The sequence below is a fragment of the Homo sapiens genome, chromosome 12 (assembly GCF_000001405.40).
Source record: "Homo sapiens chromosome 12, GRCh38.p14 Primary Assembly".
Taxonomy (NCBI): domain Eukaryota; kingdom Metazoa; phylum Chordata; class Mammalia; order Primates; family Hominidae; genus Homo; species Homo sapiens.
The window spans coordinates 65,152,747-65,175,181 of NC_000012.12; the positions used below are offsets into that span (position 1 = coordinate 65,152,747).

At 40.0% G+C, this 22,435-nt stretch overlaps 1 protein-coding gene and 1 long non-coding RNA gene across 3 annotated transcripts in view, besides 7 other annotated features; one reads left to right on the top strand and one right to left on the bottom strand.

The window, feature by feature from the left end:
* Window positions 3,610-3,669: an enhancer, noted in NCBI's record as "active region_6605". NCBI's record gives its function as "activates an Ori minimal core promoter by ATAC-STARR-seq in GM12878 lymphoblastoid cells {active_cell/tissue: GM12878}" and the evidence as "EXISTENCE:reporter gene assay evidence [ECO:0000049][PMID:35858748]".
* Window positions 12,023-16,670, bottom strand: LOC124902953 (uncharacterized). Its single transcript, XR_007063349.1, has 2 exons — window positions 16,471-16,670; window positions 12,023-12,800 (listed from the first exon to the last, which is right to left on the bottom strand). It is a non-coding gene; the product is annotated as an uncharacterized LOC124902953 (long non-coding RNA).
* Window positions 16,355-16,414: an enhancer, noted in NCBI's record as "active region_6606". NCBI's record gives its function as "activates an Ori minimal core promoter by ATAC-STARR-seq in GM12878 lymphoblastoid cells {active_cell/tissue: GM12878}" and the evidence as "EXISTENCE:reporter gene assay evidence [ECO:0000049][PMID:35858748]".
* Window positions 16,600-17,172: an enhancer, noted in NCBI's record as "H3K27ac hESC enhancer chr12:65563126-65563698 (GRCh37/hg19 assembly coordinates)". NCBI's record gives its function as "activates a minimal SCP1, AML or CMV promoter by ChIP-STARR-seq in primed H9 embryonic stem cells {active_cell/tissue: H9 hESC(primed)}" and the evidence as "EXISTENCE:reporter gene assay evidence [ECO:0000049][PMID:30033119]".
* Window positions 16,837-22,435, top strand: part of LEMD3 (LEM domain containing 3) — a 78,773-nt gene continuing 73,174 nt past the window's right edge. For both annotated transcript variants that reach the window (NM_014319.5, NM_001167614.2), the window contains exon 1: window positions 16,837-18,372. In NM_014319.5, the coding sequence (NP_055134.2) occupies window positions 16,851-18,372 (1,522 nt within the window). In that variant the 5' untranslated portion in view covers window positions 16,837-16,850. The remainder of the gene's footprint in view (window positions 18,373-22,435) is intronic.
* Window positions 16,855-17,004: an enhancer, noted in NCBI's record as "active region_6607". NCBI's record gives its function as "activates an Ori minimal core promoter by ATAC-STARR-seq in GM12878 lymphoblastoid cells {active_cell/tissue: GM12878}" and the evidence as "EXISTENCE:reporter gene assay evidence [ECO:0000049][PMID:35858748]".
* Window positions 17,125-17,334: a silencer, noted in NCBI's record as "silent region_4630". NCBI's record gives its function as "represses an Ori minimal core promoter by ATAC-STARR-seq in GM12878 lymphoblastoid cells {active_cell/tissue: GM12878}" and the evidence as "EXISTENCE:reporter gene assay evidence [ECO:0000049][PMID:35858748]".
* Window positions 17,718-17,921: a silencer, noted in NCBI's record as "fragment chr12:65564244-65564447 (GRCh37/hg19 assembly coordinates)". NCBI's record gives its function as "represses an EF-1alpha promoter that drives an FKBP-Casp9 reporter gene in an ReSE screen in HepG2 liver carcinoma cells {active_cell/tissue: HepG2}" and the evidence as "EXISTENCE:reporter gene assay evidence [ECO:0000049][PMID:32094911]".
* Window positions 17,915-17,994: an enhancer, noted in NCBI's record as "active region_6608". NCBI's record gives its function as "activates an Ori minimal core promoter by ATAC-STARR-seq in GM12878 lymphoblastoid cells {active_cell/tissue: GM12878}" and the evidence as "EXISTENCE:reporter gene assay evidence [ECO:0000049][PMID:35858748]".

Below are 22,435 nucleotides of genomic sequence, written 5' to 3' on the forward strand. Positions count from 1 at the left end.
ACCAGACCACAGAAACAGCTGTGGCATATGAATAGAAGTCTTTCTGAATATTTGATGAAGTGCCAGAGGTTGCCTGTTGCATACAGTTATTTAGAAATACTTGGCTATTGCATACGGTTACTTAGAAATGTTGCCTTTGGGGGGGAAAAAAAGAAATGTTGCCTTTGTTAATACAGACATAATAATAACAACTTTGAACTACCACACTGTACAGTCTGAGTAGATATAAGAAAATAATGGAATATAAATCTAGGAAAGCAGATTGCATCTTAATTTTAAAGTACTTTGAATACTGATACGCTTTCAGTCTCTTTCCTCTCTCTGCATCAAGACTTTAGGAGCTATTTTTGGTATCTCCTTTATTTTGATCATCATAATCATTTACAGGTCCTTTAATAGTTTTTGCATCAGCATCATTTCCCTCCTTTCCATTACTTATGCCATGTTAGTTCATTTGACCTCTTCCTACTCTAAGTAGGCTAGCTAAGCCGTTACCACTAGGGTCTCTTTCCAATCTATCCTACTCCCTGCTGTGTGGTTAACTTTCTGGAAGCACATCTCTATGATGGTGTTCACAGGATCAAAGCCAACCGAACAAGAAACAACAACAACAAATTACAATGGATTGCTTACTAAATAAAATCCCAATACTGTAAGACTAGAGAGAGAGAGACAAAGAGAAAAAGACCCAAGTAGAAAGGTTACTCCCTTTACTCCTGTGGGTAGCTTGTTGTTCCTTGTTAGTCTAATATATCAATTTCTCTTCCTTTGTTTCCTCCTTTAAAAGTTAGTACTTCAGGCAATTCACTGATATTTAGGTAGTGTGTCCATTAGAGAACTCTTTTTGCATAGCAAATGGAAAAAATATCTAAAGGATTTATCATCCCCAGGGTTGTTACTCCTTTGGCCCTTCTATGATGTCATTGAACTTTAAAATAACCCTATTCAATAGTAGATGCAAGTTATCAACATTCTTATTTTATACAGGTGATGAAATTGAGAAATAGAGTTTAATTTACTTCTGCAACATCACAAAGCTAGTAGATGGGATAGTACTCAGGCCTTCTGAATCCTATTTAACTTTTCTTTCTACAATTAGTTATATTAGGAGAAATATTTAAGTGATCTATCAAATAACCTGGCCAGGCATGGTGGCTCACGCCTGTAAACCCAGCACTTTGGGAGGCTGAGCGGTTGTTACCAGTGTAGAAAAAAAAGACATGGTTATATGCTCCTGGGGGAAATATAAAATAGAATTGGTTTCATGATCAGAGGCACATATACTATGGAGTTTGGGTGTTTACCGTTTAAATAAACTTTATTAGAATGTCATTTTTGTATAATAAGATACATACACTGAAGTGTACTGTTAGGTGATTATTTTTCAAAAGTATATAAACACTACCCCAATTAAGATAAATTTCATCAACCCAAAGAGTTCACTCACATCCCTTTACTGTCACTCTTTCTCCACCCTTCACCAAAGGCAAACATTCTGCCTTCTTTTGCTATGGATTAATTTTTTCTATTTCAAAATTTTATGTAAATAGAGTCATATAGTGTGTATTCTTTTGTTCTGAGCTTCTTTAACTAGACAGTGCTTCTGAAATGTGTCCAGATTGGTATGTATCAGTACTTTATTCCTTATCATTACTGAGTAGTTCAAATGTAGTTCCTCTAAAATTTGTTTATATATGCACTTGTTGATATTTTTCCAATTTTTGCCTACTATGAATAAAGCTGCTATTAAAATGCATATGTAAGTCTTTGTGTGGACATACGGTTTCATTTGTCTTGGGCAAATACCCAGGAGTGGAATTGCTAGGTTTATAAGGTAAGTATATGTTTAGCTTTATAAGAAACTTCCAAAATGTTATCCAAAGTGGATGTACCATTTTACAATCCCACCAGTGATGGATGAAAGTACTGACTGCTCCACATCTTGGCCAACACTTGATATCATCACTTCTTAAAATTTTAGACATTTTTATAGGTGTGTAGTTTTATTACGTTTTAATTTGCTTTGTTCTATTAACTAGTGGTTGAGCATACTATCATGCGCTTATTGACCATTTGTGTATCTTCTTGTGAGAAAAGTCTGTTCAAATACTATAAATTAAAATTTTTAATTTTTTGCCTTCCTATTATTTAGTTATGAGTGTAATATATTAGTTCTTTATCAGTTGTGTTACAAATATTTTCTCCATCTGTGGTTTGCCTTTTCATTTTATTAAAGATGGTTTTCCAAGAGCAGTTTTTAGCTTCACATGTAATTTAAAGAGCAGGCATCACCTGAAGCAAAAGAACAGAGGTGATGCCAATTTCAAAGAGCAGAAGTTTTTAGTTTTACATGCAAATTACATGCAACTTCTCACTTTTTCTTTAGTGACCAAAGTTTTAAGGACTCCAGCCTTAAGAAAATGCAAGCCTCAGCTTTGGCTTTCTACCTATCCATTATTCACTTGGGATGCTAGCAAATTGTAAAATTGGGCTAGAATCCAGGAAAATCTTACCAAAGTCCAAGAATGTGACAGCCATTTTTGTTTATATTAGTAGCTATATTTATTGGGTACATAATATGCAATGAGTAGTGTGCTAAATACCATACATAAAATATTTCACTTAATCTTTACAAAAAGCCTTACTAAAGAAACGGGTGTGTTAGTCTCTTCTAGCACTGCTATAAAGAAATATCTGGCTGGGAACAGTGGCTCACCCCAACACTTTGGGAGGCCAAGGTGGATGGATCACCTGAAGTCAGGAGTTTGAGACCAACCTGACCAACATGGCCAAACCTTGTCTCTACTAAAAATACAAAGAAATTAACCAGGCGTGGCTTCATGAGCCTGTAGTCCCAGCTACTTGGGAGGCTGATTCAGGAGAACTGCTTGAACCTGGGAGATACAGGTTGCAGTGAGCTGAGATCACATCACTGCACTCCAGCTTGGGCAACAGAGTGAGACTCCATCAAAAACAAAAACAAACACAAACAAAAAAACCTGAGACTGGGTAATTTATAAAGAAAAGTGGTGTAATTGGCTCATGGTTCTGCTGTCTGTACAAGAAGCATGGTGGCTTCTGCTTTTGGGGAGGCCTCAGGAAACTCACAATCATGGTGGAAGATGAAGGCAAAGTCGGCACATTTTACATAGCTGGAGCAGGAGCAAGAGAGTGAGGGGGGAGGTGCCACACACTTTAAAACGACCAAATCTCATGAGAACTCACTCACTAGAACGGCACCAAGGGGGATGGTGCTAAACCATTCATAAGAAATCCCCCTCATGATCTAATCACTTCCCACCAGGCCACACCTCCAACAATGCAGATTACATTTCCACATGAGATTTGGGCAGGAACACAGATCCAAACCATATCATGGAGATTTAGAGTAAAAAAGTTATTATACTAAAAGCATATACATCATCAGTGGCAGAGGTAAAGTCTACCTGATTCCAAAGCCCTTTGAATCTTTGAAAATATGCAGTATCTAATAAATTTTTTGCTGGGCACAGTGGCTAATGCCTATAATCCCAGCACTTTGGGAGGCCAAGGTAGGAGGATCACTTGAGCTCAGACTAACCTGGGTAGCATAGTGAGACCTCATCCCTATAAGAGATTAAAAATAAAAATTAGCTATGTGTGGTGGTGAACACCTCTGGTCCCAGTCACTTAAGAAGTTGAGATGGGAGGATTGCTTGAGGCCGGATCTTCTTTTCTTTTTTTTTCTTTCTCTTTTCATTCTGATTTTACAAATGACTCAGCATTTATTTTCACTTCCTTTGAGTGTGACTTTCTGTACTGAAGTAGATGGAAAGCAAAATAGTACATTTCCCTGACTTCCTTGCCACCAGGGTTCCACATTTGGTTAGATTGCACCAATTTGATGCACCTACACACATTTTGAAAAGTGGTCCTAAACAGGAAGTCCCCTTAATTCTGCTTTTGACTATTTACTAATGGTAAACATGGTTATAGAAATGTGGGGGTTTTATGCAGTGCCTGATCTCCTGTTTCATAGCTATCAAGAGGAAGTTGCAGTGGCAGCGGCATCAGCTTCTTGAGCTCTGAATTGCAGCTACAGTGTTTTGTTTGTTTTGTTTTGTTTTAACTTTAATAGCTGTATGGCAGATTCTCGAATACCGACCTTCCCGATTATGGCAGAGGAGGTAACTCCTCTGGGAGGTCAGTTTCATGGTGTTCAGGGAATCACTCCTGGAGCTCAGCTTATAACCCACTCTTTCAGCCCTTCCAGTGATTTTATAATGATCTAACACCCTGTATTAAATCTGTTTTAAATACTTCAGATGGTTTCTCTTTCCAGCATTGAACCCTGCCTGATAAACACGGTAAGGACAGACATTCAACAATGGCCTCAGTAGCCAGTAATTAGCAGAGGCAGAGATAAACAGTTAGTTTAGGGATAAGAAATTAAGTCTTTGGGGAGGCAGGTGTGCCAGAGTCTCCATCGCAAGAAAAGAATGCACTATCCTAGTTAGCAGGGAACCAGAACAACAGCTTCAGAACAGGCTGTGCTGCAACGCAACCTGTTGGTTGAGTTGGCAAACATTGATCTTGGGAAATGGCTCCCAGACTTCCATTCTGGTTATCCTCCTCTATATGAATTTTAGTTATTGAGTGTCTTTAAAATGTGGCAACAAGATGGGAACATAGTACTTTTATTTTTTGGTTGGAGGACAGGGTTTTGCTCTGTCACCCAGGCTAGAGTGCAGTAGTGCGATCATGGCTCACTACAACCTTGACTTCCCAGGCTCAATGCAATCCTCCCACTTCAGCCTCCCAAGTAGCTGGGCACAAGGGTTGTGTCACCACACCCAGCTAATTATTTTGTTAATTTTTAAAAATTGTTTATAGAGACAGGGTTTCACCATGTTGCCTAGGCTGGTCTTGAACTCCTGGGCTCAAGCAATCCTCCTGCCTCAGCCTCCCAAAATGCACTTGGGATTACAAGTGTGAGCCACCCTGCCTGGCCTCAACTTTTGTATAACCAGCAAAGTTTACTCCAAACATACCTCTATCACTGCAGTCTAGGATTGCATTAGCTTTTTTGGAAGCTGTGTCATAACATTGGATCACATTCTGTTTCCAGTTAATGAAAATTCCCGCATCTTCACTTAGCAACTGATGTTAATTCAAATCTACTTACCCTTGCACTTAGGCAGTTGATGTTTTGAAATTATGGAAGGACTGACCAAAAAACTATCTCCTTTCATAGAATTCAATTATTTTTGTTCAAAGAAATTTGCATCAATGCCTTTAATTGCTCAGTTTTGCTACTATGGCAACATTGTTAGTTGTTACTATTTTTTCAGCCATTACATTTTCTCATCAGCTTTTCCTTCCTATCTTCCAACTGGCATGTAACACGAAAGTTTGTTTTGTTGTTGTTGTTGTTCTTATTTTTTAGCCGAGGTTCTCTTTCTTTGAGATGGAGTTTCGCTCTTGTTGCCCAGGCTGGAGTGCAATGGTGCGATCTCTGCTCACTGCAACCTCTGCTTCCCGGGTTCAAGCGATTCTCCTGCCTCAGCCTGCCAAGTAGCTGGGACTACAGGCATGCGCCACCACGCCTGGCTAATTTTTTATTTTTGGTAGAGATGGGATTTCATCATGTTGGTCAGGCTGGTCTTGAACTCCTGACCTCATGTGATCCACCCACCTCGGCCTCCCAAAGTGCTGGGTTTACAGGCGTGAGTCACCATGCCTGGCCAGGTTATTTTGATAGATCATTTAAATATTTCTCCTAATATAACTAATTGTAGAAAGAAAAGTTAAATAGGATTCAGAAGGCCTGAGTACTATCCCATCTACTAGCTTTGTGATGTTGCAGAAGTAAATTAAACTCTATTTCTCAATTTCATCACCTGTATAAAATAAGAATGTTGATAACTTGCATCTACTATTGAATAGGGTTATTTTAAAGTTCAATGACATCATAGAAGTGCCAAAGGAGTATTGATATAAAACAAGAAAAATGACCAGAGACCCTAAATTGAGTTATAATCAGACTAGCTTCTCTTGTTCTGCTACTTTTTTTCATTAAAGCATAGTTCCACAGTATAGAGAATTGGTCTGGAATTTAGGATACCTGGGTTCTAACTCCAATTTTCTCTCTAACTAGTTGAGTAATGTTGGACAAATAACACAACCCGATAGGCTTTATTTCCTTAACCTAAAAAATAATAGGATTTACCTACATACTTTTAAAGATGCCTCTCAGCTCTCTGAATTTTTAAAAATCTGTCATGCTGGCCCACACTCAAGAATCACATAACTCTTATTTGCCCATTTAACTTTATCAAGGTACATCTCTAGTGGCGTTCATGATTATTTTATTTATGATATAATATTTAGGCTGCATTTCAAATAGGAGCAGTGGCGCAGTCCCTATACGAGCAAAAGGCTTTTCAAGGAGTCCTAAAATACCAAAATGAAACCAACAAGGTTTAGTTCAAGTAATTCAAACAACCACTTGTGCTAAACTAGAAAGAATTTTTTACTCACTGAATATAAGTTTTATAGCTCAGGTCACCACCTATGGTACTAAAGACTTTAATAACAATAATGCATCCCGCTTGAATAAAAACAGCCTTTTAATATGAAATTTAAAAGATTCAGACAGTAGCAATCAATTATTTTTTCTTTCCTTTACAAAAAAAAGTACCACTTGAACTTTTATGCAAACAAATCTAAATGCTAAGAAAAGAACCTAAGTTAATATGAGCAATAGAAAAGAATGACAACTTGGGATATTAATTCCAGTTTTATGAAGCATATTTTTATTGAAAACCTGACATGATTAAATATTTGACAATTAAAATAAATATATTATTTATAACCCCACTATGGTAATGCAACTATTTTTAAAATTTTGTTTATTACTTCTTATAGGCATATATTTGAGTTCCTTAACTTTTTGAGAATCACCACCCTTAGGTCTTTGTACAGAGAGTCCATTATCCATAGAGAGTGTATATGATTGAGGAGAACCTTCTGGAACTTAGCTTAGCAGCTTCCAGATATCACTCTCTTGCTTTTCCTCCATCTTACTGCCTTCTTGTTCTCAGTCTCCTCTGCAGGCTCTTTCTCATCTCCTCCATCTCTAAATGTTGGAGTACTTCTGGGATCAGTTATCAGACCTTTTCTTTTTTCTATCCTGCTAATTTACATGGCTTTAAATTTCATCTCTCTGCTGCTGACACACATTTATGACTTTAGCCCAGAGGTTCCCTCTTGAACTCCAAGCTCATGTGTACATTTTTCCCAAATTCATTTTCTTAGAAGCCCCAAAAATCACATATTCAAATGAATCCCCTGAATTCTCTGATGACTTACTGTACTCCAGGCTGCTATATCTCAGTAAATAGCAACTTCGTTCTTCTGGATGCTCAGCCCAAAAGCCTTGGAATCATTCTTGATTCCTTTCTCTCACATCCACAATCTAATTTGTAAGGAAGTCCTTTAAAATACATTCAGAATCCCAATACTTCTCACTTCCTCTCACTACCATCCTGCTCCAAATCATAATCTTTTCAACTAGATTGTTGCAATAGCTTTCTAACTTGTCTCTTTGCTTTTTTCTTTCCTCTTCTAAAGTCTACCTTTGGAAACAACAGGTCTTAATATGTAAACTATATCACATTGCTCCAGTCCTCAACCCCCACCTCTCCTACAAAGGCTTGCCATCTTATTCGGAGTGAAACACAAAGTCCTTATCATGGCTTAAAAGGTCCTAGAAGATCTACACTTCTCCTCCACCACTGATCTGATCTTATCTCCCATGGCTGGTGCCCCACTCCCCATCCTATACCAGTGATATTGGCCTCCTTTCTGTTCTAAGAATAATCCCATCTTGCATATTCCCGCTCTGGGGTTTTGCCCTTGCCATTCCCTTCTCCCTTAGATATCCACCTGGCTTACTCCCTCACTCTCTTCAGATGCCTGCTCAAATATCACCTGATCAGAAGGGTCTTCCTAATCACCCAAATAAAATAGCACCATTCACCTGAAGCCTTCACTCTCTATCCCATTTTACCTTCCTTCGTTTTTCTCCTTAGCACCTATCTCTGACATATTACATATTATTTACTTAATGTCTATCTTCTTCAGCTAAAATGTAAGATCTAGGATGTCTATTTTGTTCATTGTTGTATCCCCATCATCTAGAACAATGTTTGGCACAAAGTAAGTACTCAGTAGATATTTGTTGAACAAATAAATAAACGAACCAGATAGTCTTAACCAAAGACTTAGACAAAATATACAGGGGCAGGTAAAAGTAAACATGCTATTCATTGATTTAATACAGTGAAAACAATTGAACTAGAGTTATATATGGCTGAATCTCACAAAATATTGAGCGACAATGTAAGTTGCAGAAGACTATATATGTAAAATGTGATATCAAAATGTTTTATATACATATTGTGTGTATGTGTGTGTGAGAGACAGAGAGAGAGACAGAGAGAGAGACTGAAAGGAGGAAAGAGAGAGAGAGGAAAGAGATGATCCATATTAATGATAAATACCAAAATCATACTACAAAATGAATGGTTGTTAACTGAGGGGATGGTAATGAGGACATATAATGATATTACTGTTAATGTTTTGAATGTCAAAACAAAAAAATTAGTTATATAGACCATACTGGAGACTTCTTAGGGGGTCACAAAGGAGAATTTATATCTTACATAATACAACCAAATAAAATTCTCATTACACACCTTTGTTTTGCTTCAAAAACCTTCTGCACTACCAGGCATCTGGTCTCTACCTTTTTTTTAAAACTTATTTTGGGAAATTTCAAACATGTAAAAAAGTAGAAAGATTAGTACATTAAACACCCACGTACTGGGATTTCTGCTTCTTGTCAAAATGGAATAAGAGGGACTGGATTTACTCTGTAGCCTGAAACAAGTTTCAAGACAATGCGCAACAAAGGACAGTGACCCCAAGAGAGGGGAAACAAATAAGGTGAGGCTAAGATTGCCCCAGTTTATTGTCAGGAGAGAAGTTCCAGGCTGTGTACCAGAAAGGAGGAGCCCAATGACCATTGCCATTTATTGTAAACCTGTTCTTTAGGGCCATAGGAACAATGAAAGGATACACAACACTCAGAAACGTTCCTCTTGTATGGATAGGCAGAAAATACTCTCATTTAGAGGCAAGCAGCAGAGGTCAGGAGCAGGTCTTAGCCATGGGCAATGGAAGAGAATGCTTTCTAGCCCATCAATAAAAACTAACATTGGCCCTCTCCCCTTCTATCCCCTTTCTCCTTTAAGAAGGCTTAAGCTTCTGGGAAGAACAGACAAGAAACATCAAGGGATAAATAAACCAAAGTTTAAAAGTCTTATTAAACCAAAACCTGGTGATTCTTGATGCCTGTTTCATATGAAGTTCTCTTACAACAAATAAAATGACATTTAAAGAAAGGTTTCTGTTAATAAGAATGCATAATCATAAACAGAGGTGCTCAGACCTCTTTGTTTACACCACTGATCATATGATGTGGGACAGGAAAGCATTGGTATTAAAATGCTTTCTGCTGCTTAATGAAACCAAACCTCTAGAGCACCCTGGACCATGATCCTCTTTGCAGGTGTATTCCTTAAATTTCATGCTTAATTTGTAGACTCATATTTTTCTCTTATTTTTAGATAATCCTACAGGAGGCCTACTCCTAATGTATTTCTTTGTGTATAACTCAAAGTCTTCCTAATGCCATTTTGTGACATGTGGTAACTCTTTACTATTCATGCAACACATTTGTATAGAATACTGTGCATAAGACAATAAGCTAGGAGATGGGAGGGATGCAAATTTCAAAAAGGCATAGACCCTTATTTCAAGGAATGTAGAGTCTAAGGGGCAAAATAAAGCAAGCGTATGACTATAATAAAAAGTACAATAATAAGTACTATAAGACAATGCTCTCAGAAAGTTTTGGATTTGGAAGGGATCTAAATGGTATAGTAGCTTTACTCATTTTAGACATGAAGAAACTGAAAGCCAAAAGATTAAATGACTCATTTCATGCAGTACATGGGACAGCAGGGTGGGTTAGAAAGAACAGTGGACTTAGGGGTCAGAGAACCTAGTGTGATTTTGAATTTCAGTCCTTGCTAGCTTTCACAAAGGACAAATGATAAAGCCTTCTATCCTGGTTAAAGATCAAATGAGACAATAAAAGAGTTTTATAGACTATGAGGCAAAATAAAAATGTAAAATATTACTACAATTGTAGAACTGGGAATAGAACCCAAACCTCCAAATTTTCAGACCCTTGTCCATCAGGTATTAAAGTGAAATGTTTTTCCATGACTTTTAGTTAACAATTTAGGCAATTCACTCACTTGCATAGTTAGAGTAGAATATAATTATCAATCATCGCATACATATGTTGTTTACTTGAATCCTATGACAATTCCCCACCTGTCTGAGTTATATATAGAAAAATAAAACAGATGCTCTCACTACAAAACTTTCTTGGCTAATTCTTACCGTAACATAGGATAAAAATTTTATCCAACATTTCTCAATAACGTGTTGTTTTTTCAGTTGTATTCTGGTTTCTTCCTTATAAGCAGTGTTAGTGTTGAGCAATTAAAAAGAAAAATAAACATCAGGAACTTTGTAGATCAAAACTAGTGAACACATCCTAGAGGTATTTAAGAGAAGTGATAGCATCGGCCGGGCAAGGTGGCTCACGCCTGTAATCCCAGAGGCCGGGGCGGGCGGATCACAAGGTCAGGAGATTGAGACCATCCTGGCTAACACAGTGAAACCCCGTCTCTAGTAAGAATACAAAAAAATTAGCCGGGCGTGGTGGCAGGTGCCTGTAATCCCAGCTACTCAGGAGGCTGAGGCAGGAGAATGGCGTGAACCCAGGAGGCAGAGTTGCAGTGAGCCGACATCATGCCACTGCACTCCAGCCTGGGCAACAGAGCGAAGTGATAACATCAATATAATATTGTGTTACTGCTTTGATCTGCTAAAATGGTAAGTGATATAATCAATTTTATATTTTTGAGTTTTCTTTCCAGTTGTTGCACGTAGCAACAAAGAAAAGAAACAGGTTAATTGTAAAAGCCTTTGTCCTCTTCTTCACCCCATTACAGACACCTTCCTCTTTAGGGTGGGTGAGAAAAGAGGGAACTAAGTTTCTTTTTACCACCATATAACTGTATGACTCAACAAAGGTATTCAAGATTGGTATGGTATAGTAGAAAGAACAAGGAATTTGGACTCAGAGGTCCTGGGTTTCAGTTTCTCATTTATCTATCGAGACTTGAGTCAAGTAACTTTGCTAGCTATCAGTTTTTTCATCTGTAGAAGATGAAGACTAAGAAAACCTACCCGTTGGGTTGTCAGATGAATTATATAAAATTATATAAATTAAATGATTTAAGGCAGCTAAAAAGATGCATATTAGGAAGATAAAGTAAACATTAAAAACATCTTAAAGATTTTTTGTTTTTGTTTTCTTTCTTTCTTTTTTTCAGAGATAGCTCTTGCTCTCTCACCCAGGATGGAGTGTAGTGGTGAAATCACAGCTCCCTGCAACCTTGAACTCCTGGGCTCAAGCGATCCTCCTGCTTCAGCCTCCCAAGTAGTTGGGACTCTGGTGCACACCACCATGCCTGTCTAATTTTTATTTTATTTAACTTTTTGTAGACATGGGGTCTTGCTACACTGTCCAGGCTGGTCTTGAACTCCTGAGCTTAAGTGATTCGCCTCCCAAAGTGCTGGGATAACAGGCATCAGCCACCATGCCTGACCAAAATAAAATAAAAATATTTTAAAATGAGGTACACAAAAATAAAGTTAAGAAATTTAGATGGACTCAGCAATAAGGTTAATGTATAAAATATAGGCTATGTAGCCCTATACACTTGCTCTGACTGGACTGCAAATTTGAGTATAAACTTCTTAGCTGTCATCTCAAAGGGAGAAACATGGCAAGTCACCAAACAGTGTCCATCTGTTAAAAGGAAAACTTAAGACAAAATAAATTTGACAGAGTTTATTTAAAGAAAATAATGATTAATGAATTGGGAAGCATCAAAACCAAAAAGTTTATGGGCTCAGCCTTAGCAGCCAAAGCAGGGAGGTGTTTGTTTGTTTGTTTTGCCACAACATGGAAACAAAGTAAAGAAATTACCTGATTGGCTACAGCTATGCATTGGCCTTATTTGGGTATGGTCTGATGGGAAGTCTCTAGTTATATATCCAATCAGCTGGTTGGCTGTTTGTGATTGGCAGAAGCTGGTGGGTTTTGTTTTTTTTTAAGTTAATTACAAGAACTGCTTCCACTTCAGTTTCAGTTTGCTTATATAAGAGCTCTAGGTGCAGAGACAACCTCAGGCTAATGGCCTCCTTCTTGTTTTTTTTTTTTTGAGACTCAGTCTTGCTCTGTCACCCAGGCTGGAGTGCAGTGGTGCGACCTCGGCTCATGCAACCTGGGTTCAAGCGATTCTCCTGCCTCAGTCCTCCGAGTAGCTGGGATTACAGGCACGGGCCACCACACCCAGCTAATTTTTGAAGTTTTAGTAGAGATGTGTTTCACCATGTTGGCCAGGCTGGTCTTGAACTTCTAACCCCAAGTGATCCCTCCTCGGCCTCCCAAAGTGCTTGGATTACAGGTGTGAGGCACCGCATGGGCCTAATGGCTTCCTTATTTGCTTGAACACATCCATAAAGTTAAAAACAAATTAACTTTTGTGATTCCTCAAAAAGTTCAACATAGAATTACCATATAATCTGCAATTCCACTTTGAAGTACATACCTAAAAAAAACGAAAACAGCTATTCAAACAGATACTTATACACCAATGTTCATAGTAGCATTATTCACAATTACCAAAGGTGGAAACAACCAAAATGTTCATCAGTGGATGAATGGATAAATAAAAAGTGGCACATTCATGCAATGAAATATATTATTCAGCCATAAAATAGCACCACTGCACTCCAGCCTGGGTGACAGAGCAAGACTTTGTCTCAAAAATAAAATAATATAAAACAATTAATGTTATGTTATATGAATGTCATTTCAGTAAAAATTAAAACAACAACAAATGAGTTGCTCTGGAAAAACACAACTATTTCTAATAATGAGACCAGAAAGGACATTCTTTAATGAAATGAACTCTCAGCAATATATTTATTTGAACAAAATGTTGCGTTCATATCATTCTTCAATATAAACTGATGTCAAGGCTAAAAGGGTGACATGGTGAAAGGTATTCTATTGGGAACAGGGTGGGTAGGGAAAGAGAGTAGGAGGAACAGCGTGTTAGTAATGTGGCCCAAGCTACATTGGTCTCTCATAAGGAGGCTTAAGGCAGAAATGAAATTAAAAGCACCTCAAAGAAGAGTTGGACCAGAATCCATCAAAATTGTTTCCCTCAGATTTTTGGAAGTTATGGAGCAGGACTGAGTTTGAGATTGCACTCCCTGTCAAGTATCTGGGTACAGTCAAGAATAGAGCCTCATACTTTAAGTGTTAGCCAGTCTGGAAGCAGGAGCAAGATCCACTAGCAAATGAGGAGAATGTTGGAAGTGAGCAGTGACAGTGTTGAGGCAGTGAAGGTTCTCCTGAAAAAGCGTTGGGTCTTCTCAAACACCAAACAAAGGGTAATTATAAACCCATATAGTTCCATGAAATAAATCATGCTCTAGTATCTTCAGAGAGGAAAGGTTTCTTGTAGATCAAACAAGGTCATGTATATGAAAGTTCTTTGAAAAGTATAAAGTAGTATATCAATCATAGTTGTCGTTATTATTAATATCTGATAATACCTAACTTGTAAACAAAATATTTGAACAACATTTTCACATACAGTGTTCGTTCATCATTCTCAACAAATATTGATTGAATTGTCTGCCAGGTAGGGTAGGCAATATCATCCACATTTTAAAAAAAAATTGTTTTGTTTTTTTTTTTGAGACCGAGCCTTGGTCCATCACGCAGGCTGGAGTGCAGTGGCATGATCTTGGCTCACTGCAAACTCTGCCTCCCGGGTTCAAGCGATTCTCCTGCCTCAGCCTCCTGAGTAGCTGGGATTACAGGCATGCACCACCACACCTGGCTAATTTTTTTTTTGTAGTTTTTTTGTTTGTTTGTTTTGTTTTTTTTTTTTGAGGTGGAGTCTCCCTCTGTCGCCCAGGCTGGAGTGCAGTGGTGCTATCTCGGCTCACTGCAAACTCCGCCTCTCGGGTTCAAGCCATTCTCCTGCCTCAGCCTTTTGAGTAGCTGGGATTACACGCGCCCGCCATCACGCCCGGCTAATTTTTGTATTTTTTTTAGTAGAGATGGCGTTTCACCATGTTGCCCAGGTTGGTCTCCAACTCCTGACCTCAGGTGATCCGCCCGCCTCGGCCTCCCAAAGTGCTGGGATTACAGGCATGAGCCACTGCGCCCGGCTCATCTTCATTAACTCTTAATTGGACTTACTTAATGCCTTGAGGGAAGTTTGACCATTTCCATTTTTGTCTATGGAGTAGCATTTTCTTTAACTGCTATTACATAGAGTTCTCAGGAGCCATGCTACTGAAATGGCTGCACACAATGCTTAGCTTTATATTATTGACTAACATTTATTGAGTGCACACTGTGTTACGTATGGTACTAGGCATTATGCAGATACATATAGTTTTATTTACTCCTTAAAACAGCCTTCTGAGGAATTTTTATCATCCGTCTTCTGTTTGTACAGAAACTAAAGCTCGGAAAGATGAATTAACTTGCCCAAAGTCACAGGCAGAAACATAACTGGTTCAACAGTCCTTATAGGAGGTCACTTAAAGGTTCATGAAAATCAGAGGCTGAGCCAACAGAGCTCTATGATTCCTATCAGAGGAGCCAGTATGGCATAAAGCAAATGTTGAACCAAGAATCAAAGTAAGAGACAGGGCTGGGTCCATATCTAGTTTTGTTTAACTCCAAAGCTCACAGCTTAACCACTCTGCTACATGGAGACACAAGTCCACTAAGTTTATAATAATTTTAGTTCCCACCCAGATAATTATGGCAATAAAATCTGGGTCATCATCATCATAGCCACTATAGTTTACTGTTCAAAACTCTCTTATAAGTGCATAACAGTCATAGATTCAGGAACATTTATAAATCTTAAAGTCTCAATGATAGAGGACAAGGAAGTGTCCTCCACAGAAAAGCTTTTTTTTTTTTTTTTTTTTTTTTTTTTGAGACGGAGTCTCGCTCTTGTTGCCCAGGCTGGAGTGCAGTGGCGCGATCTCGGCTCATTGCAACCTCTGCCTTCCCCGGGATCAAGCGATTCTCCTGCCTCAGCCTCCCGAGTAGCTGAGATTACAGGCGCCTGCCACCACGCCCGGCTAATTTTTTTGTATTTTTAGTAGAGACGGGGTTTCACCATGTTGGCCAGGCTGGTCTCAAACTCCTGACCTCGTGATCCGTCCCCTGACCCCCGCCCCCCGCCCCGCCTCCCAAAGTGCTAGGATTACAGGCGTGAGCCACCGCGCCCGGCCGTATTTATGCTTTTGACTAACGTTTTTCTGTACAGGTGTATAGGGTAATGTAATAGGTAAAATAACTCATTCAACAACAAAAAATTATTGTAGTATTTTGTAGCTACTAGGATTGAAGTACTAAAGAATTGTCTGTCTGCCAAGGTTTGGGGAAATGGGAAAATGGGACAAGATCTTCACCACATGGGGCACATTTCACCTCTCTGGGATTCATTTCCTATTCTGTAAATGGCAGAGTTGGGGTTCCAGGTCTTGTCCTTGTTTTTTTGACTTTGTGTGAAGGTTTCTCCACCTCACCTGGCACTAGTCTTATTTCAAAATATTCATCTCATACTATCCTCTCTTTGCAATTCTTTAATTCATTCAACAAATATTTATTGAGCTTCTACTAGTATTGTGAGTAACAGAAGCAAGGTTCCTCCACACATGGAGCTTATTATAGTCCAAAAGGATAGGACAATAAATAATTTTGAAAGTAAACAAATATTTATTAATAACTGATAAATAACTATTGGTTGGAAAGGTGCTAAGAAGGAAATAAATAGGATCATGTGTTATGTCTCTGAGAGTCTTAGAATGAAGCAGACAAGCTCTTTCACTTTCAAGTGCTGACGTAGTAAAGTCATTAGGTTTCAAAAAAGGAAAAAAAGATAATATCTTACAATTAACTAATGAATGAACAGCCATTACGCTAGAAGAAAATTGTATTGTGATTGGTGTACTCCGTATCTTCTCAGAATGAGAGAGGTGAGGCTTCTCAAAAAGAGCAGCGAGAGAAAGTCACTTAAAAATTTTTTTTTTTTGGTAGGTCAAGCTAAAGACGAACTGAAAATAGACAACCTGAAGTCAGACGGGAAAGCTGCCAATCTAGTCTGGCCAGCAGAATTTCTTTCAGTAGGTCTAGGCTCCCTCGGCATTGGGAATCCAGATGTAAAGAAAACTTACGCCATAAACTTCAAGGTAGATTTCAGTTATTACTGCCCGGTGGCAGGAACCTAGGAAGGTGAGGTCAAGGTGTGGTTTAGTAAGAGACAGCTCCCGGGAACGGCACTTGGAAGGGCAGGGCGGAGAACAGCTGGAGATGAGATAGAGAGCAGGGGGAGAATGCGCCGACACCTCAAGGTGAGAGAGTAGAAACAGTCTCCGCCGTGGGAGCCGCGCGCTGCTCAGGTGGCTCTTTCCCGCTCAGGTGAGCTCCTCCCGCGCCTCCCATTGGCCGAGATGCCCGCGGCGCTGGGAGGGCGACGCAGCGCGGTCTAGTTCAGGGTCTAGGGCGGCGCGTCACTTCCGGTAGCGCGGAGCTTGTAAAACACCCTGGAGAGAAAATGGCGGCGGCAGCAGCTTCGGCGCCTCAGCAGCTCTCGGATGAGGAGCTTTTCTCTCAGCTCCGCCGTTACGGCCTGTCTCCCGGACCAGTGACGGAGAGCACCCGCCCGGTCTACCTCAAGAAGCTGAAGAAGCTTCGAGAGGAAGAGCAGCAACAGCACCGGTCAGGGGGCCGCGGCAACAAGACGCGGAACAGTAATAACAATAACACGGCAGCCGCCACGGTCGCAGCCGCGGGACCAGCGGCGGCGGCGGCCGCGGGGATGGGGGTCCGGCCGGTCTCGGGCGACCTCTCCTACTTACGGACTCCTGGGGGCCTGTGCCGAATCTCGGCCTCTGGCCCAGAGAGCCTCCTGGGAGGGCCCGGGGGCGCCTCCGCCGCCCCCGCGGCTGGCAGCAAAGTGCTGCTGGGCTTCAGCTCGGACGAGTCGGACGTGGAGGCCAGTCCCCGGGACCAGGCCGGCGGCGGCGGGAGGAAAGACCGGGCTTCGCTCCAGTACCGCGGGCTCAAAGCGCCGCCGGCGCCCCTGGCCGCCAGCGAGGTGACTAACAGCAACTCTGCAGAGCGAAGGAAGCCCCACTCGTGGTGGGGGGCCAGGAGGCCGGCGGGCCCCGAGCTGCAGACCCCGCCGGGGAAAGATGGAGCAGTGGAGGACGAGGAAGGGGAGGGAGAGGACGGTGAGGAGAGGGACCCGGAGACCGAGGAGCCGCTCTGGGCGAGCCGGACCGTGAATGGCAGCCGGCTTGTCCCCTACAGCTGCCGGGAAAACTATTCGGACTCAGAGGAAGAGGACGACGACGACGTGGCCTCCAGCAGACAGGTATTAAAGGACGACTCCCTTTCCCGGCATCGGCCCAGACGAACCCATAGTAAGCCTCTCCCCCCGCTGACTGCTAAATCGGCCGGCGGCAGGCTGGAGACTTCAGTTCAGGGAGGGGGAGGACTCGCGATGAATGACAGGGCGGCGGCTGCCGGGAGTCTAGACAGGAGCCGAAACCTCGAAGAGGCGGCGGCCGCGGAGCAGGGAGGAGGGTGTGATCAAGTGGACTCCAGCCCCGTTCCTAGATACCGTGTTAACGCTAAGAAACTGACCCCTCTCCTGCCCCCGCCACTTACTGACATGGACTCAACCTTGGATTCGTCAACAGGCTCCCTTCTGAAAACCAATAATCATATTGGCGGTGGGGCCTTCAGTGTGGACTCCCCCAGGATTTATTCTAACAGTCTCCCTCCCAGTGCGGCGGTGGCCGCCTCTAGTTCACTCAGGATCAATCACGCCAATCATACGGGCTCCAATCATACCTACCTGAAAAACACATACAACAAACCGAAGCTTTCCGAACCCGAAGAGGAACTTCTCCAGCAATTTAAACGGGAGGAGGTGTCCCCAACAGGGAGTTTCAGTGCCCACTACTTGTCGATGTTTCTCTTAACTGCTGCCTGCTTATTTTTCCTAATACTGGGACTGACTTACCTAGGAATGAGAGGGACAGGAGTATCTGAGGATGGAGAACTCAGCAGTAAGTATTAAATCCTGTGGGTAAGGTAACAAAGAGAATGTTGTTAGTGGTCCGCTTTAGCCGCGCTTAGCGTTTTACATGAAGTGACTTACCTGCAAGAATATGGTTTAACAGCAAAAACGCAACAGTGCGTGCATGTGTCATCTTTCTTAAAGAACACCATTATCGAAATGATGTCATATGGCTGGTTTTAAAAGTTTTCTGCATGATGTATTGTGAAATTCAAAACAATTTTTAAAAGAATATTATAAGCTTGTTAGTAAAACTCATTTGTATATGTGACAATTCTCTTTTAGCCCTGAAAGACTATTTGCGCAGATGCCAGTTACTTAACAAATTTGAAGTATTAGGATAAGGCACATTATAAATGTAGTGTTTTTCCAAATTGAGTTGTGATTCTAATAGGCAATGTAATAGCTCTTGAAATTCGAATTATTTTATAATATTAACTGTATGCATAAATTCGGATTAAATATTTTGTGGTATTAACTGTATGTATAATTTCTTTATAGTGAATGAATATAAAAAAGCAGCAAGGCACACCTCTTAATTTATTTCCCAGCCCAAAGCACTTTCCCTATCATCTGTACAAAAAGTAGTGGTAGGGCAGTGCAGGAGCTTGCAGTCAGATTTCCTTGGATTGGTTTCCAGGTCCTACTATTTACTTGCTAAATGACTGTAGGCAGGTGTGTTCATTGTCATAATCAAAGTATCTCTGCCCTTAAACACAAAAAGAAGATGAATACAGACCATTTTGTGTTCTCTGAAGGAAATAAAGATGAGTAATTGGCGTACACAACTTTATTTTTTTTCCTTTTTTAAAAAAATTTACCAGACTACACTGACGTAGGTGTACACTACTTTAGATTGAACGGAGGAGGTACTATTTGAGGTGAGACCTGAAGCAGAAGGAGACAGCCTTGTGGAGAAACAGTAGACCATTCTGAGCAGAGATTAAGGCCTTGAGTTGAGCAAGAGCCTTCTTGTAGGTTAGAGTGGTTAAGCACCTTGAGCAAAGGGGAGAGAGTCAGAGTTAAAGCTTCTGAACTTTCCTAATCTATAAGATGAGGCCTCTATTGACTAGAATGTTTGTGAAGATTAAAAGAGAAAGTAAATTAGGACAAAATGGACTTCTGAATACATAATTTCTCAGTGTTAGGTCCCTCTCTGCATTCTCCCTGAAGGCTTCCTACTCTTTTCACCCAAGATGAATTCACTGTATTTTTATTTGTATTTATAAAATTGGCTTATTAGTTTTATTTCAAAATAGAGTGAAAGATGCAGTTAGCCAACTCAGATAAAGAGTAGGAGTCAAAATAATGTAAGCTTAGATTTAGATATAGCCAATTCCGAGACAGTCAAATAATAGATTTTTACTCTGTTGCTTAATTACAGGGGTTGAAACAAGAATGAAATTCAGCTCTCACTTTAGTTTATTCCCTGGGAGCATGAGTGTATTGTGTCCTGCCCCAAATATTTGGGAGAAAAAAAATAAGGGCACACTAGAAGTTAAACAAGTAAAAGTTCACATAAATTAAATGACATTACCTATCAGCAGTAGCTATCTGCATCTGTGTCTCTAACAACTATAAGATCTGGCCTTTTTCTTTTCTTTTTTTTTTTTTTTAGACAGAGTCTAGCTCTGTCGCTAGGCTGGAGTGCAGTGGCACAATCTCTGGTCACTGCAACCTCCGCCTCCTGGGTTCAAGTGATTCTCCTGCCTCAGCCTCCCAAGTAGCTGGGACTACATGCGCGTGCCGCCACACCTGGCTAAATTTTTTTTGTATTTTTAGTAGAGACAGGGTTTCACCATGTTAGCAGATCTGGCCATTTTCTAAGAGCTAATTGCTTTACACCTATTGTACCATCTAATCTTCCCAGCAACTCACAGAAGCAGGTGGTGGTATCCTCATTTTTGGATGAGGATGATACTAAGTTAAGAAATGCACTGAGTGTTGAACAGTTAGTAGTAGGGCTAAGATTTGGTTTCAGATTTTATTTCCAACTAGAAAGACCATTTTAACACTGTTTTGGTTATTGTTTGTAGAGAGCTTTCTAAATAAGTGGGTACCTTTATTATGATTAAGAAAGTAATTGACTATTTGGTAGGATTTCATACAGAATTATTGATAAGCACAATTCTCAGTTAAGGTGACTTTCACATCTTTCTCATCAGTGTTAAGATGAATGACTAATGTGGTGTACTAAAAGTTCAGGTAGAATAGGATAGGAATGCTAGGATTTTGGTACTCTTCACCTTCACTGATAAGGAAGGAAGGAAATTATATTTACATTTTAGTAAATGGTAAATGTGAAGTAATCTGGGCGTTGGAAAGAACAATGGCTAAGAAGTAGAGGATCTAGGTTCTAGGACTTGTCTGAATGACTGTGGTCAAGCTCCTTAATCTCTGAGCCTCATTTTTATATACTAAATGGAAGTAATAATATCTGCTGTCTCTGGGTTTGTTTGTGAGGGTCAGGTGAGACAGTGTGTTAAACATAAGGTGGTATTATTCAGAAATTTGGACAAAATTTGTTGTATTCCTGGTAAACTACAGTATATCTAGAGAGATAAATAGTTAAGACATTTCTATAAATGACATAGTATAGTGCATTTCTTAACCTAACATTTGATTTTTATCCCATTAAATATACATTATAGAAATTAATACAGAAATTTGAATCAAAGTATAATGAATCCTTAAATGTATGATACACTTGATGTATTGTATGTCTACCCTGTGGAAAGAAGTGCCTGCTAACTTCAGTTAGTCTGCACACCTAACAGTGTTAGGGTATCAAGAGTGAATAATATTTTCACTCCATATATATATACACACACATACATACACGTATTCCATATCCTTTGTTATATTATGATGCTTTAACTGTAGAGTTCATTGGTCAAATAGTATGCTTAGGGAAATACGTTTACTTTGAGTAATAGTTTTCACCAGAAGATTGTAGGTTATATGTGAGAGTAACTTTTAGGAGGCTTTTATTATTTAAATTACATATAACATATAGTAGATTAGTCTTTTAAATTGTTCTTAATCATATAGTCTTTGAAACTTTTTCATCAATGCCCTATTTTTTTATTAATTAAATTGCTATAAGTCTCTTCTTCCTCATCTATAAAACTAGGGGGTTGGATTAGATGATCCCTAAGCTCTTTCCAGCTCCAAGATTTAAGATTTTAACTTTGAACTGCCATACCAAAACAACTCAAGGATCAACCTGCAATCAGAGTAGTCGCTTGTTCCACAGGTGATTAGATCATTATAGCCCACCAAACGAAAATAGAGAAGCAGAATAGATTGACTGTCCTAGGCTCGTATGATCATTATTAATTTTTTTTTCAATTACAAAAGACATGACTTCTGCAGAAAGTTTGAATAGAGATGAAGGAAACAGTGAATGGTTATTGTATGCCTCTCTTCCTAGCCTCATGCTGCCCCCATATAAATAAGTTCAAGTATTAGATCCTTTCTGACCTTTCTTAGTATTTTTCATGTAAATACATCTCTGTGTGTGTGTGTGTATGTGTGTGTGTACAGATTTTCATTCAACAGCAGAGTGTCTACTATGTGCCCGGTATTATTTTAAGCAGCAGGGATATGTGGTGAACAATATGTTGCATATGTGGAAGATGAAATCTCTGTTACAGAGCTTACATTTCTAGGAGGGGAATGGACAAGTAAATAAGAATTTCACATAATGGTAGTTGCTAACACAAGGTATTGCTGGTAACTTTTGGGGGCTGAGGTGAAGAGATATGCAATATTACATAAAGGTAGGCAGACCTCTCTGAGGAAGGATGTTTGAACTGAGATATGAATGACTTGAGGGAACTAGCCTTTGATCAGGAGAAGAGCATTCTGGCAGAAGTATCAGCAAGTGCAGAATTCCTGAGGCAAAAACAGGCTTGTGTGTTGAAGGACCAAAAAGAATGGCCAGTGTTGCTGGGACATAATGAATGAAGGGGAAAATGGCATACCATGAAGTTAAAGGTAGGTATGGGCCAGATCATAAAGACCTAAACGCCTTGAGGGCCGTTGAAAGG